The sequence below is a fragment of the Homo sapiens genome, chromosome 4 (genome assembly GCF_000001405.40).
Source record: "Homo sapiens chromosome 4, GRCh38.p14 Primary Assembly".
Lineage (NCBI taxonomy): Eukaryota > Metazoa > Chordata > Mammalia > Primates > Hominidae > Homo > Homo sapiens.
In genome coordinates this window covers 173,913,430-173,926,351 of record NC_000004.12, presented here as the reverse complement: position 1 = coordinate 173,926,351, position 12,922 = coordinate 173,913,430, and the positions used below count along the sequence as shown (strand labels likewise).

The following is a 12,922-nucleotide window of genomic DNA, read 5'->3' as shown; positions in this document are numbered from 1 at the left end:
AATACAGAATTGAAATGTGAATTGCAAGTGCATCTTGGGAAATGTCCAAAGCTGAGAAAGTCTGTTTTAATTGGGGTAGACCGATGAGAAGACTCAGATTCAAAGTATCTCTTTCATCTAATCTTAAAATTGTTATATTGGTGACAAATATGGCTTGTGGCAAACAATTCTGTAGATTTTTTAAAAATTGCTTCTCCCAGTTCCTAACTTCTTTACGAGAACAAGATTGTTTTAAAAAAATTAATAATTAATATCTATTAGGCATTACATAATTCATTCATTACATAACCACACAGTAAGAAAATCCATATCTTGCAAAGGAGAAAATGGAAGCCTGGAAAGATTAAATGACTTGCTGAGGGCCATAGAAACTGGTGACACCAACGTGGCCTACCTTCAAAGCCCATGATTGTTCCTGTTTTGGGAAGCTATGAGGTCAGGGGAAGGTAATACAGGATGCGATACATTGCCTTCCTTAAAAACAAGAACAGAAGCATAAAATAAAGGAAAGCAACAGAAAAATGTTTAAAAGACATGTAATTTGGACTTTTATAGGTTTTAAAGAGAAATTCTAATTATTCTTACCACAGCTGAGGATGCTATGAAAACCCCTTGAGGAAACAAAGGCACCTTGGGGGCCATTGAGAACTCCTGACGAAGAGGGCTCAGCTGCCAGACCTGCTCAAGAAAGACCTCAGAAATCTCTATGGGGCTGTCAGAAGAAAAGGTTTGAAAAGGGTCTGGAGAGACTGAAATTTGTCTGCCTTGGACTTTTCTTTTGACAATTCACATCCAACTTAAGCAGAATCATTGTTTATTCTTATTATGCCAGGTTTCCTTTTCTGGTCTGCAGGTTCTCTAGGGTTTCATAGGCTAGTAGTTGGAATTTTCATATTTCCAAAGCATTGGGGATTTTGCAAAAACAAAATCTAAAGGATATTCAGCAGCACAGTTTACTTAGGAGGTTTTAATCATAATAATCTGCATAATGTATGAGAATTTCTACCTCAGCTGCCTCCTTTCTTTCTCTTTCGTGTCTGGGAAAAAGCCAGGGATTTTTCCCTTCCTCTGATTTAAATACCTTATAAAATTTTGGTGGAAGCATTTTGTCCTATTCTGTCTTCCTGATTCATTTTCTGCTGTAATGAGCAAAATTAATTTGCAAGAGCTGCTACTGACATAGTGTAATAAACTGGGTCATAGGTAGAATCAGTGCCGCCTTATGACCCTTAGCTGTCATTGCTTTAAGGAATTTGGCATGGTCCTCGAAGGCCAGAAGGCAATGTGGGTTGCATCCTACAGCTTTTGAGATCTCAGAGACTTACTGCACCCATGGCTGGGAATGAACTGTAAATGCTGACACTGGTAACTAGGTGCCAAACTGAAGTGATCACAACCTAATCTGAGCCAAAAGGCATTTCTTTGCATCAGGCATAAAGCAACATCAAACTCCCATAACCCACACACAACACAGAAATCATTACTGAAGAGATTCAACATCATCATGCCAGACACTAAGTGAGTTATTTCTCTCCTTCCCTGTCTCACCACAGTTTCCTCCCACTTGGTCACACATGGTAAGCATTCATGTGTGCGAAGGCATTTTATGCCTTCGACCTAACCCCGACCACAGTCCCCTAGTCTTATCAGAGATCTGCACTCCCCACCATTTGAGCACGATGGAGTGCATATTTCCAGTGCAAAAAGACTGATATCATTATGATTTTCATTAACTAGTTGCCAGCTTGCATTCTTTTTTCTCCCTTTTTTTCTCTCTCAACAGCACTTCTGTCCTCAGCCCAACCCCAGCCAGAAAAGGTGTTGCTACATTCAGTGAAAAATTATTATTAGTATAGACATGAAATTTGATGATAATGTAGATTGTTTTGTGTCATCTGCAGGCTGTCACAATACACTCTGCATCACTGAAATGTGTTGACCAGAAGGATGATGGTGTTGTCATGATACTGAGGTCTTTTAATTAATTACTTTGTGACTTTCATAGCATTTAGAAAACGGAGAACAGGGTATTTTCTTGAACAGCCTAGCCAAATGAAAAACTGGTTACTAATGTATGTTATCTTCATGAATGAAGGCATAAAATAATAAAAACAAACAAATTAAAAATTGTTAATAAATTAATAACTAATAAAAATAAATAAAATAAAGATTGTTAGCATGTTTCATCCATGACAATCATGTATACAATTTGTGATGTGCAAAATAATTTTGTAGTTAGGTATCAGTGCATATTTTTGCACATACTACCTTCTTTAAAGGACTGTATAAATTGACTAAAATATTTTCAGAGACTTAATGAAGATACAATATAGGGACTTGTGATTTACACAAAGGACCTTTTAAATTTTTCAATGCATTTGTTTTAAAGACGGCTTTGACCACACACGTACATTTTCTAACTTGGAAAAGTAGCTTCCTGTTATAATCAATACAGATTACTTTTGGACTTTAAAAAAATCAGGCAAATATTCTAAATTGTTGAACTCTCTGGGTACATGTATCTTCTGCTTTGTTAAGTTTATTTACTTTATACAGTTCCCCTTCTTTCCTTGCTGTAGAGCCTGTTCAATATCACTGACTAAATCACAGAAAGAACTCCAAGATCATCTAGCTAACCCACAATCACTGAAGCAAGCAAATGCTTGTTTAAAGAATCAGGGTAGGTGGTGATCTCTTCTATTTTTAAATCATTATATGGGTAAAAAATTATAAACATTGCTTTTCTTTATAAAATGGCTTCACACATTTTATAGGTTTACAATTCACCAACAAGTCATTTGAAAACCTCTGCACACTCCAGTAGTCATAATTTTAAAAATCAGATTTTATATTTTTCTTTTCTTCTCCTTTCCCTGATACAGTCTTAAGTCCCACATTTTACAGGATGCTTTATCCTCCTAAGTTCTATTTTGTTTTGCACATACATGCAGAATGCCTACTTATAAAGTCATGAGCATATAGATCCAATAGAGTATATGTGCCCAATTAAGTATTGTCCTTCTGGGTAGACATCTTAGAGGAAATGAACTTATTATAGATTTGTCCTAACTTCAGTAACACCCATCCATAAAAGGCCGCCAAGTTGCTGCTTTCTGCAGTAGTACTCGAGTTGAAGAGAGGAGATTTTTCAAGGATAAGATACTTCGTGATCAATAGCGTGTCCCAGAAGAAGGCAGAAAGTAGAAGATGAGGAGAGGATGGCTCCAACTCTTGTAGGACCTAGGGGATATGATGAGATTAGCCCGTGGGCAGTACAGGAGGACAGCAGGCTTGGGCAAAAGTGTACAGTATAAAGAAGATAATGGGAGACAAGAAACCTGGGATTAAAGTCCCAGTGAGCAAACAAATCACTCTTTTTTCCTTTTGGTTCTTCATAAAATGAGAATAGTTACATTCAGTTGAAAACCTTGGTGCCCCAGATATGAATCGCTATAAGCATCTGTCATTTTTGTAAAGAAAAAATATTTATGTTTTATTATGGAATTTCCCACATGTTGCTTTCTTGCTCCTAAATTGTTTGTGAGACTTTAGAAAGCAAATAATAGAATATTTTCTTTTTTTTTTTTTTTTTTTTTTTTTTTTTTTGAGATGGAGTCTCGCTTTGTCACCCAGGCTGGAGTGCAGTGGCGCGATCTCGGCTCACTGCAAGCTCCGCCTCCCGGGTTCACGCCATTCTCCTGCCTCAGCCTCCCGAGTAGCTGGGACTACAGGCGCCCGCCACCACGCCCGGCTAATTTTTTGCATTTTTAGTAGAGACGGGGTTTCACTGTGGTCTCTATCTCCTGACCTCGGCCCGCCTTAGCCTCCCAAAGTGCTGGGATTACAGGCGTGAGCCACTGTGCCCAGCCTAACAAAATATTTTCTTGGCTATTTTAGCAAAAGGAAAATCTGATTATCAACTTATGTTACCTTCATCAATGAGATCCAAAATAAAGAATACCTGGCCATATTGTTAGCTTATTTTATCAATATACAGTTGCACAGAATTAGGTCTCCAAAGAACAAATCATCAAAGAGCATAGTTCCCTGGTGAGGGAATTCAAACCTGCTTAGTCATATGCCTCAAATGACCAAAATATTAAAATAAATACTTTAAAATGTGCCAACAGTTCCAGGGTGCTAAAAAGCAAATCCCTAAATCATTTTTGTTGACTATAGATTTTATCTCTGGATTAGAATTGCTGTCTGATTCTTTCCCTTATTAGATTGTGAAGTGGAATAACTATGTATTCATTCTATATTCATTGGGCCTCAACCATGAAACAGGCTAATTTTTAGGCATTGAGGATATAGCAGTAAAGGAGACTCAGTTTCTACTCTCGGGAACTGTGTGGTGTAATTGGGATGTGGGGACAACAGTGGGTGTATGTAAGAAGACAACGGCCTAAATACGCACTTCCAAAACAAGGAGATAGATGCTATCATTCAGGGAGACACAGACAGCTCTGCGATTTATAATACTGTTCAGCACTTTAAGAGTGTTTGCTGCCAGGCACTGTGGTGTGCGCTTGTAGTCCCAGCTACTTGGGAAGCTGAAGAGGGAGGATCTCTTGAGCCTAAGAGTTGGAGGTTGTAGTGAGCCATGGTCACTCCTGTGAATACCCCCACCACTCTAGCCTGGGCAACAGAGCGAGACCCTATCTCTTTAAAAAAAAAAAAGTGTTTGCTATATGGCAGGCACAGAGCCAGCATTGTACATGTAACATCTCATTTAAACCTCTTAGCAATCCCTAAGGAGTAGGTCCTCGTTCCCACTTTACCAATGAAAAAACAGACTTAATAGCTTGCCCCAAGCTACCTGTTATTTAAAGTGATTGATAGAATTTGAACCTAGGTGCTCTGACTCTAGATGTTTTATGTACCTTCGCAAGATTAAACTGAGAGCTGAAGAATAAAAAATTACGCCAAGAATGGGGACAGTAGTTAGAGCAGGAATATAGAGATTAGTGGGGAAAGAGAAAAACAACCCAGAGAAGGAAGAGAGCGTGGTATTTTCATGGCACAGTCACCAGCAGAGAATGGCTGAAGCAGAGTTCAGAGAGAGGAAGAAGAAAGGGAAAGTCGATGAGCTGGGTGGGCTCATACTATGCACGGGGCCTGCTTACCAGCTGCTGCTTCACACTCCTCCACTGTAGAAGGGAGCCCTGACGCTGGGTAGCACAAAAGGCAACTTTATCTAAGTCCTAAAGTTCTTTGTTTTTGATGAAATAGTGATTTTGTTCCCCAAATTGTTTTAGAGCATAAAAAGACAAAGCTGGCATAATTTTTATTTTATAGATCATAAAGCTAAATTTCAGCATGGGATAGTGACTGCAACATTCTAATTAGAGAGTAAAAATTCAAGCTAGAACTCTGATGTCTTTCCTTATCTCCTATTGTCTTTTCACTCTACCATATAACTATCTTCTTATAATACATTTAAGGCTGAATATCTAATTTTTAGAAACACAATGTTTATCACTAAAAATAAAATGCCTTTTTCCACTCCCAGTCCCTCTCCTTTCTTAGCACAGGTGATGCCAGATTAGCACTCCTAAAGTACAATCCTCTGCAGGCTGCTTCTTTATTTCTATGTAATCATACAATAGTCAATTTTGAGCAATAAAAATAAAAAGCTTTTATATTGAAAGAATATGTTATTTTCATCTCACTTTATTACACATACTGACTAAATCACTTAGGAGATAATAAAATACATAAGTAAAATATATTTCCTTCCCCACCAAGTTGATATTATTATTTTTTTTTAGATTTTGGCACTTTGTCACAAATTTGGTTTTATCAGAGAGTTCAAAGAGTGCTTCAGAAAATAAGAAAACAAAGTGATTCCTTCCATCATTCTATATTTTCCTTCTGATAACCTTCACCTATCAACTTAGTCACCATTTAACTCTTAGTGATAGTTACCCTTCATCTTATCTCTACAAATTTCCTTCACAAAAAAGGAGTCCATTTGTCTTGTAGATATAACTAGTTTTGAATGGAAATACAAAAGAAATGTATTGTGTTCTTACATAACAACTACAGATATTGACTATATCAAAAAAGAGACAGTTCGAAAAAAAAAGTGAGCCAGTATATACTTACAAATTTTAAGAATGATTTTATAAAGTCATTTCCATTTAAAATCTGCATTTACAAATTTTACATCCTCCCCTAGTTCATGTTTTTCACAAATGAAATTTGAGAAGTCTTCCTCCCAGGCACTGTGGCCCAAGGAGTTGTGTGTACCTTAGTGACTTGTGCTGCTCTCAGTGACAGCCTCTATAGTTTGGGAAGCCTTGTGTCCTGGGAGCCACAGCACAGCCCCTGGGAAACCCCTGTGAGATCTGACACCCAAAACGGAGAGCACACATGGATCTGTCTGCCTCATATTCCTCTCAGGATCTGAATGGAGACCCCAGGTGTCAACTGCCCCAACACTAAGTTGAGAAACTCTGGATCTCAGTCAACCTCCAGTGTTTCCCACAGCCTGTACGTGATTTTTTGGTAATCTACTACACTTAAAGTTCCTGGACACGTCTCTGCTCCCCCAAGGGTATCACAGTAATGGATCTCTTCTCAGTTTCCATGGAGAGCAAGTAGAAAATGACATCCTTCCCATTCCTCTGGTCATTGCAGGCTATTCTTAAGGGTTGTCATTCACTAATGCAAACTTGAAAGAAGCCATTAACAAAATGGAACACTACATTTTAAACATTTAAAAACATTATGCAATTCATCTGTATCAACGTTTTATGTGTATTTGAAGTTTATGTAACTTGAGATTTGAGAGATAGCTGAGAAAAAAAACTTACGTTTATTTATACATGAAACATTTTTTTAATACCAAAGAATGCTGAAAGTCAGAGAGTTGATACTTGAAATAGTTAAACTTGCAAAGAGACTCATTCATTACTTTTCAGAGAAGAAAATCTTCTTAAAGCTAAAACATTCAATTCTTGGTTTAAGTCCAAAGGTTCTGTTCAGTTGTTTTGAAGTTACAGGGAAAAAAATGTACTTTTCCTATCGTACCCATTGACATTTTTAAACAAAAATAATTCAAAGATATTTAAACAGTATGACTTCAAATGTCTGTGGTTAATCCATTGTGGAGAAGAATCTGTAGGAGAAAAAAAAACTATGAAAAAATAAACTTGGAGTTTGATCATGCTTTCAAACACTGGAATCAAACTAAAATTCTTCTAGGTTTATAACTGTACTATCAAAGTTTGGTTTATTTTTAACTAAAAGAGAATATAGGTTCCTGTACTGTATTTTTTAAAAGTATTTTAAGGGTAAATTAAAAAAAACTATTAGACTCACAGAATAAAATAGTCACATAACAGGGAGTTCTGTTTCATTAATTCTGTAGAATTAATATGTGATCTTCCCCAACCTATTTTTGAGTTGTAATTTAAACTCAAATTCTATTCTGAAGTGGTCAAAAATGCATAATTTAGTTTAAAGGGATGACTATTTGGTACAACAGCCCAGAGGTAAAAGCTAACAGACATGTCAGTGTTATCGATGTTTATGCTTATTTAGCCTCTTGTACTCAGGGACAATAAAAAATAGATGGGATTGAATTCTTGGGTAAGATACTTTATGTCTTTCAACTTTCATTTCTTTATCTGTAAAATGGGGTAACAGTAGGATTATTGTGACTGTTAAAAGAGGAGATATATGTAGAACAGCATAGGTAATATCTGACACACAGTGTATACTTATGAATTGTTAGTTTCTTTCACCTTTCCCTGAGGCATTCATTAATGGAATTAAAAATTATGAAATATCAAAGTAAAATAAGACTTAATAGCTGATGTGAAACAAATTTGTGTAATAAATTCATTTACTCTCATTTGAGTCAATATCTTTTTCAAGTTGTTCTTTATACACTATTAGTGGGTGTAAAATCAGCGTAGCTGATTCTGACCAGAAGGGAAGGGAAGAGAAGATAAAGTATCAGAGTATCTCACACATAGAAGAAAGGTTTCTTTCAATTTTCATTTCAGTTATACATATGGCCTATATATGTATTGCAGACTAGGTCACAATGTAAAATGTATTTCGTTCTAGGGGTTACTGTTTTGTTTTGTTTTTTAAAGGGAAATATTGCATTATCTGTTCTTTCTATTCTCACTGATATCTTTTTCTGAGTTCACAAAACATATATGGAGATGGCCTTAAACATACGCCAATGTTCAAAAATTCACTGAAGCATTTTAATCAACTGAGCATATTTTCCAAATGAAAGAAAATATTCTGACTGTCTGATCTCATATTATAATTTTTTGAGCCATTACCAATTATGAGACATTATGCTATCCACACACTCTATTCTTCACAACTGCCTCAAGAGGTATTGCTTATTCTCTTTATGTTACAATGAGGAAACTGAGTCTCAGGGAAGTGAACTCAAAGCCAGGGCTAGATTCCAGTTTTGTCTCACTCCATGCCCAAGCTTTTCACCACTAACCCATAAACACGTTCGCAGGTGGAACAAAAATTGTGTTGCCTGGTCAGTGGACAAATGGCTCCTACGGCTCTTGCTGAGTGACAGACTCGGGAAGGAATGCACCACACAAAGGAAACGGCTCTGATATGTTAAAGAACGCTTCTCTCACAGAGCAAGTTGGGTCTATCAGTGACTAGTTTAGTCATAACACAATTTAGCCTTTTAAAGAGACAGAATTGTATAAATACAGTACAGGAAGTTCAAAAAGTAATATTTTAGAAACCACATTCTTTTCTCCAGAACAGACAGCACAAAAGGTTCCATTCCCCACATTAAAACACTCTGTCTTCTCCTTGGGACACAGTGAAACGTTTACTAAGAAGTCTGAACAGCCTTAGGAGCATGAACCCTGATTTTTTTTCCCACTGTGTTCACAAAAGCAATGGATTCATTGGCAGTCCAGGACTCTGAAACAGCCTGTTCAGATTTCTTTGCTCATGCTCAGCTAATATGAATCACTTTAACTAAGTATTGCCCTGCTTTGCAGAACGGTTCTGACATTGCTAATAGTTGGCTCAGTTGAGTTGACCACAATAAGAGCTTTCTCCAGACTGAGAGAGAGCCAATCAGGCCCTTGTGAATGTCAGCATTTAGTTTGGAGATGGATTCAGATCCAAATTTTAAAATATAATAAACACTCTCCAAAGATACATTACAGTAGGGCAGCTACTAAAAGCCATCATAACAGGGCAATTGTGGAATGCCAGATGAAACCTAAACTTTGTATCATACAAGAGCATGCTATAATGGAACTTCTTAAGGGGCTTTTCACAGTCCCTGCTAAAGAATGTATTCGTCTGCTTCTATTCCTTTTTCAGTTTTTGGTTCCTTGAAGCTAATAAATTCAAATCTGAATCAACTTATTCTTATATGATATTAGATGGTCTTAAAAATATCTTCTATTTCAAAATTCCTCCTTTATAAATGGAGGTACTCAGCAATAAAATATTATAAAGAGCTTTTAGAAAGTACTGTGAGAGTCACCAAGAGGCATGCTGCACTTGGGCCCCGTGTAGCACTGCCATTGACAGAAGGAGAGACACTCAGAGTGGCTTGAGAGATTGAATTTAAACAACCTCCACATATCCTGAACTAACGTCCTTTCTTACAAATAAAAGTACTGCATAGAATTCCAATTAAATTGGTCAAAGCCACTATATTTAGACCAGAAGCAACCCCTTAAATCACTTAATTCATGTTCTGCTGAAAAGGGTAATCCTCTACCAAGGAACCTATGATTTGTCTGCTTTTTAGGAATCCAAGAAGAAATAATGATTTATTTTTTAATAACAAAAGTTAGACTATTGACATCCTTTCTTGCAACCACCTCCCACTCCCCTTAGCCCAAATTTCATTTATAATTGCATACTTAGGACAATAATGCCATTCAGCTCATGCTTTCTCAGACTGAGTATAGAAAAAGAATCATAACAGTTTTAAAATTATTATATTTTATATAATATTTTGGCAGATAGTCTCAACATCATTTCTATCAAAGTTCATTTTCTGTTGATTTCTTAAAAAATTGATTCATTATTTATGTATTTTTATAGTTCTTTTCTTGGGTATAGTTTCTGTTTGTGTAATATAGGCTCAGCATAGGAAAATTAGAAAATAAAGAAAAAGATTGAAATGAAAACAAAAAGTTCCCACAACACTGCCATGCATAAGAAATCACTGTCAACATTTAGGATTCTATCCTTCCAAAATTGGTTTCAATGCATATGTGCATGCATTAAGTTTTACAAAATGTATCATCATATAACATATACATCCCCTCAAAAACTATCAATTACAATTAATTGCCCTTGTTATTAAAAGTTGTTCAAAAATATGTTTGACAGTTACAAATTTTGTATTCCTGGAATGTGCAATAATTTATTTAATTATCTTACATACTAGGCGTTTAGGTTTCCCCTAAATTTTCACTATTACAGTTTATGCTGCTGGTAATATCTTTTACACATGCCTTATATTCATTATTTCTTTCTTTCTTTTTTTTTTTTTTGAGACAGAGTCTCGCTCTGTCGCCCAGGCTGGAGTGCGGTAGTGTGATCTCGGCTCACTGCAAGCTCCACCTCCTGGGTTCACGCCTTTCTCCTGCCTCAGCCTCCCGAGTAGCTGGGACTACGGGTGCCCACCACCACGCCCAGCTAATATTTTGTATTTTTTAGTAGAGACGGGGTTTCACCGTGTTAGCCAGGATAGTCCCAATCTCCTGACCTCGTGATCCGCCCGCCTCGGCCTCCCAAAGTGCTGGGATTACAGGCGTGAGCCACTGCGCCCGGCCTTCATTATTTCTTAGAGGTAACATTGCTATGCCGCAAGGACCAAGGAGATGTTAAACGTTTTGCATATGTTGCCAAATTGCCCTCCAGACAACTAGAAACAATACCTTCTCCCCCCTGTTTCATTGCTGTCTGCCATGTTGGAGGTTCTTATTGTTAGGCAGCCTTTAAGATGGTCCGCAATGATTCTCTCCTCTCCAGGGTGGGCTGCACATAGTGATTTGCTTCTAGTGAACAGAATATGGCAGAAATGATGGGCTATGGCATCAGATTTCAGTAATAAAAAGACTGCTTCTGTCTTATGTGCTGCTTGTCTCTTTCTCAAATCACTTGAGCTGGGGGAAGCACAGTGCTGCGTTGTTGGCAGCCCACTGAAAAGGTGGACAACTCATCGCCAGGAGCTGAAGTCCCCAGCCTAACAACCCAGAGGAACTCAGACTTGCCAACAACCGTGTACATGAGCTTGAAGACAAACTTGCAACTCCAGTCCAACCTTGAGATGACCGCAACTTCACGAGAAGCCTTGAGCCAGAACCACCCAACTAAGCCGTCCCCAGATTCCTCATACCCATCACTGTCAGAAAGAGTTTGTTGTAAGCTGCTAAGAATTAGGGTGAGCTGTTAAACAGAAATAGATAAGAAACAACCATTTTTCCCATCCTCACTAATTTTCATTTGAATGCCTTTTACCTAATACAAAGGTTGAATGTGGTTTTCATTTGTTCAATGGTCACCTGTAGTTCTTTTGCTGAGAATTATCTGTCATCATATTTTCATTTCCTCTTATTAATTCACAAGAGCTCCTTATGTATGAAGGACACAATTCTTTATCTTTTTTGCATGTTGCAGTTAGTGTTTTCTCAGTTTTCCATTTTGTTTCTATTTCTCTAGACACTGAAGTTGTTTGATATTTTTTAAAAGTTCCAATTTGTTGTAGAAAAATCTATCCATATTTCCTTCTATGGATTGTTCTTTTGAGATAATGCAGAGAAAAATCTTACTCATCCCTAAATTAAATATATATCTACCTATATTTGCTAAGAGTATTACATAATAAGACCATAAACATGTACTATTTAATCTATTAAAATGTATTTGCATAAAATTCGGTACAAATAAAATTTTTTTCTTCCAAATAGCTTTCCAGTAATCCTAGAAATATTTATTCAGAAAATGTTTTCAGACTGATTTAAATTCCACCTTTATTGCATAGTAAATTCTTAGAGTAGCAGTTCTCAAAGTGTATTCCATGGACCCTGGGGGTTCCTTAGAAATTTTCATGGGTTCCGCAAGGTCAAAATTATTTTTATGATAATACTAAAGTATTGTTTGACCTTTTCACTGTCTTGACATTTGCACTGATGGGTGTCAAACTGTGGATGCCTTAGCACAAATCAAGGAGGTCTGACCATCTGAGCTAATGGTCATTATGTTGTTCATTTCCACACACTTGCACTTTTAAATATAAAGGTAGTTTCACCTATGAATGACTTAAGTAAGGCAGTAGAAATTATTAATTGTATTAAACCTCGAACCTTGAGTACACATCTTTTTGATATGCTGTGTGACACAATAGGAAGCACACATAAAACACTTCTACTGCATGGTGGAGAATTATAGTCTTCTTGAGAAAAAATGTGATTGTTTGAATTGAGAGCTTTTTTATTAAATATTATTTTACTTGAAAAATTGACTTATTCAGGCTTAGGTATCTGGCAGACATTTTGTTGAAAATGAATGGAGTGAAATTATCACTTCAAGGAAAACAATTGAAACTATTTTTTGCCAATGATATAGAGGCTTTCAAGTGAATACTGGAATTTTGGGCAAGTTGCTTCTTGCCCAAACTTGACATAAACTTGACAGCTTCCCGGTACTTAAGGATGTTTCTCACTTTGGGAGTCTGACGTAGGTGGATCACAAGCTTAGGAGTTGGAGACCAGTCTGGCCAACATAGTAAAACCCCGTTTCTACTAAAAATACAAAAATTAGCCAGACGTGGTGGCGTGCGCCTGTAGTCCCAGCTGCTTGGGAGGCTGAGGCAGGAGAATCACTTGAACCTGGGAGGCGGAGGTTGCAGTGAGCTGAGATCATGCCACTGCACTCCAGCCTGAGC

General features: G+C 37.1%; 2 long non-coding RNA genes across 5 annotated transcripts in view; one reads left to right on the top strand and one right to left on the bottom strand.

The window, feature by feature from the left end:
* Nucleotides 1-2,168, top strand: part of LOC105377543 (uncharacterized) — a 66,783-nt gene extending 64,615 nt beyond the window's left edge. For all 4 annotated transcript variants that reach the window (NR_188467.1, NR_188468.1, NR_188466.1 and 1 more), the window contains one exon: nucleotides 591-2,168. This is a non-coding gene — a long non-coding RNA (uncharacterized LOC105377543). The remainder of the gene's footprint in view (nucleotides 1-590) is intronic.
* The window catches only part of LINC02269 (long intergenic non-protein coding RNA 2269), a 32,253-nt gene that overhangs the window by 3,174 nt on the left and 16,157 nt on the right, over nucleotides 1-12,922 (bottom strand). The gene's annotated exons all lie outside the window — the stretch shown is intronic.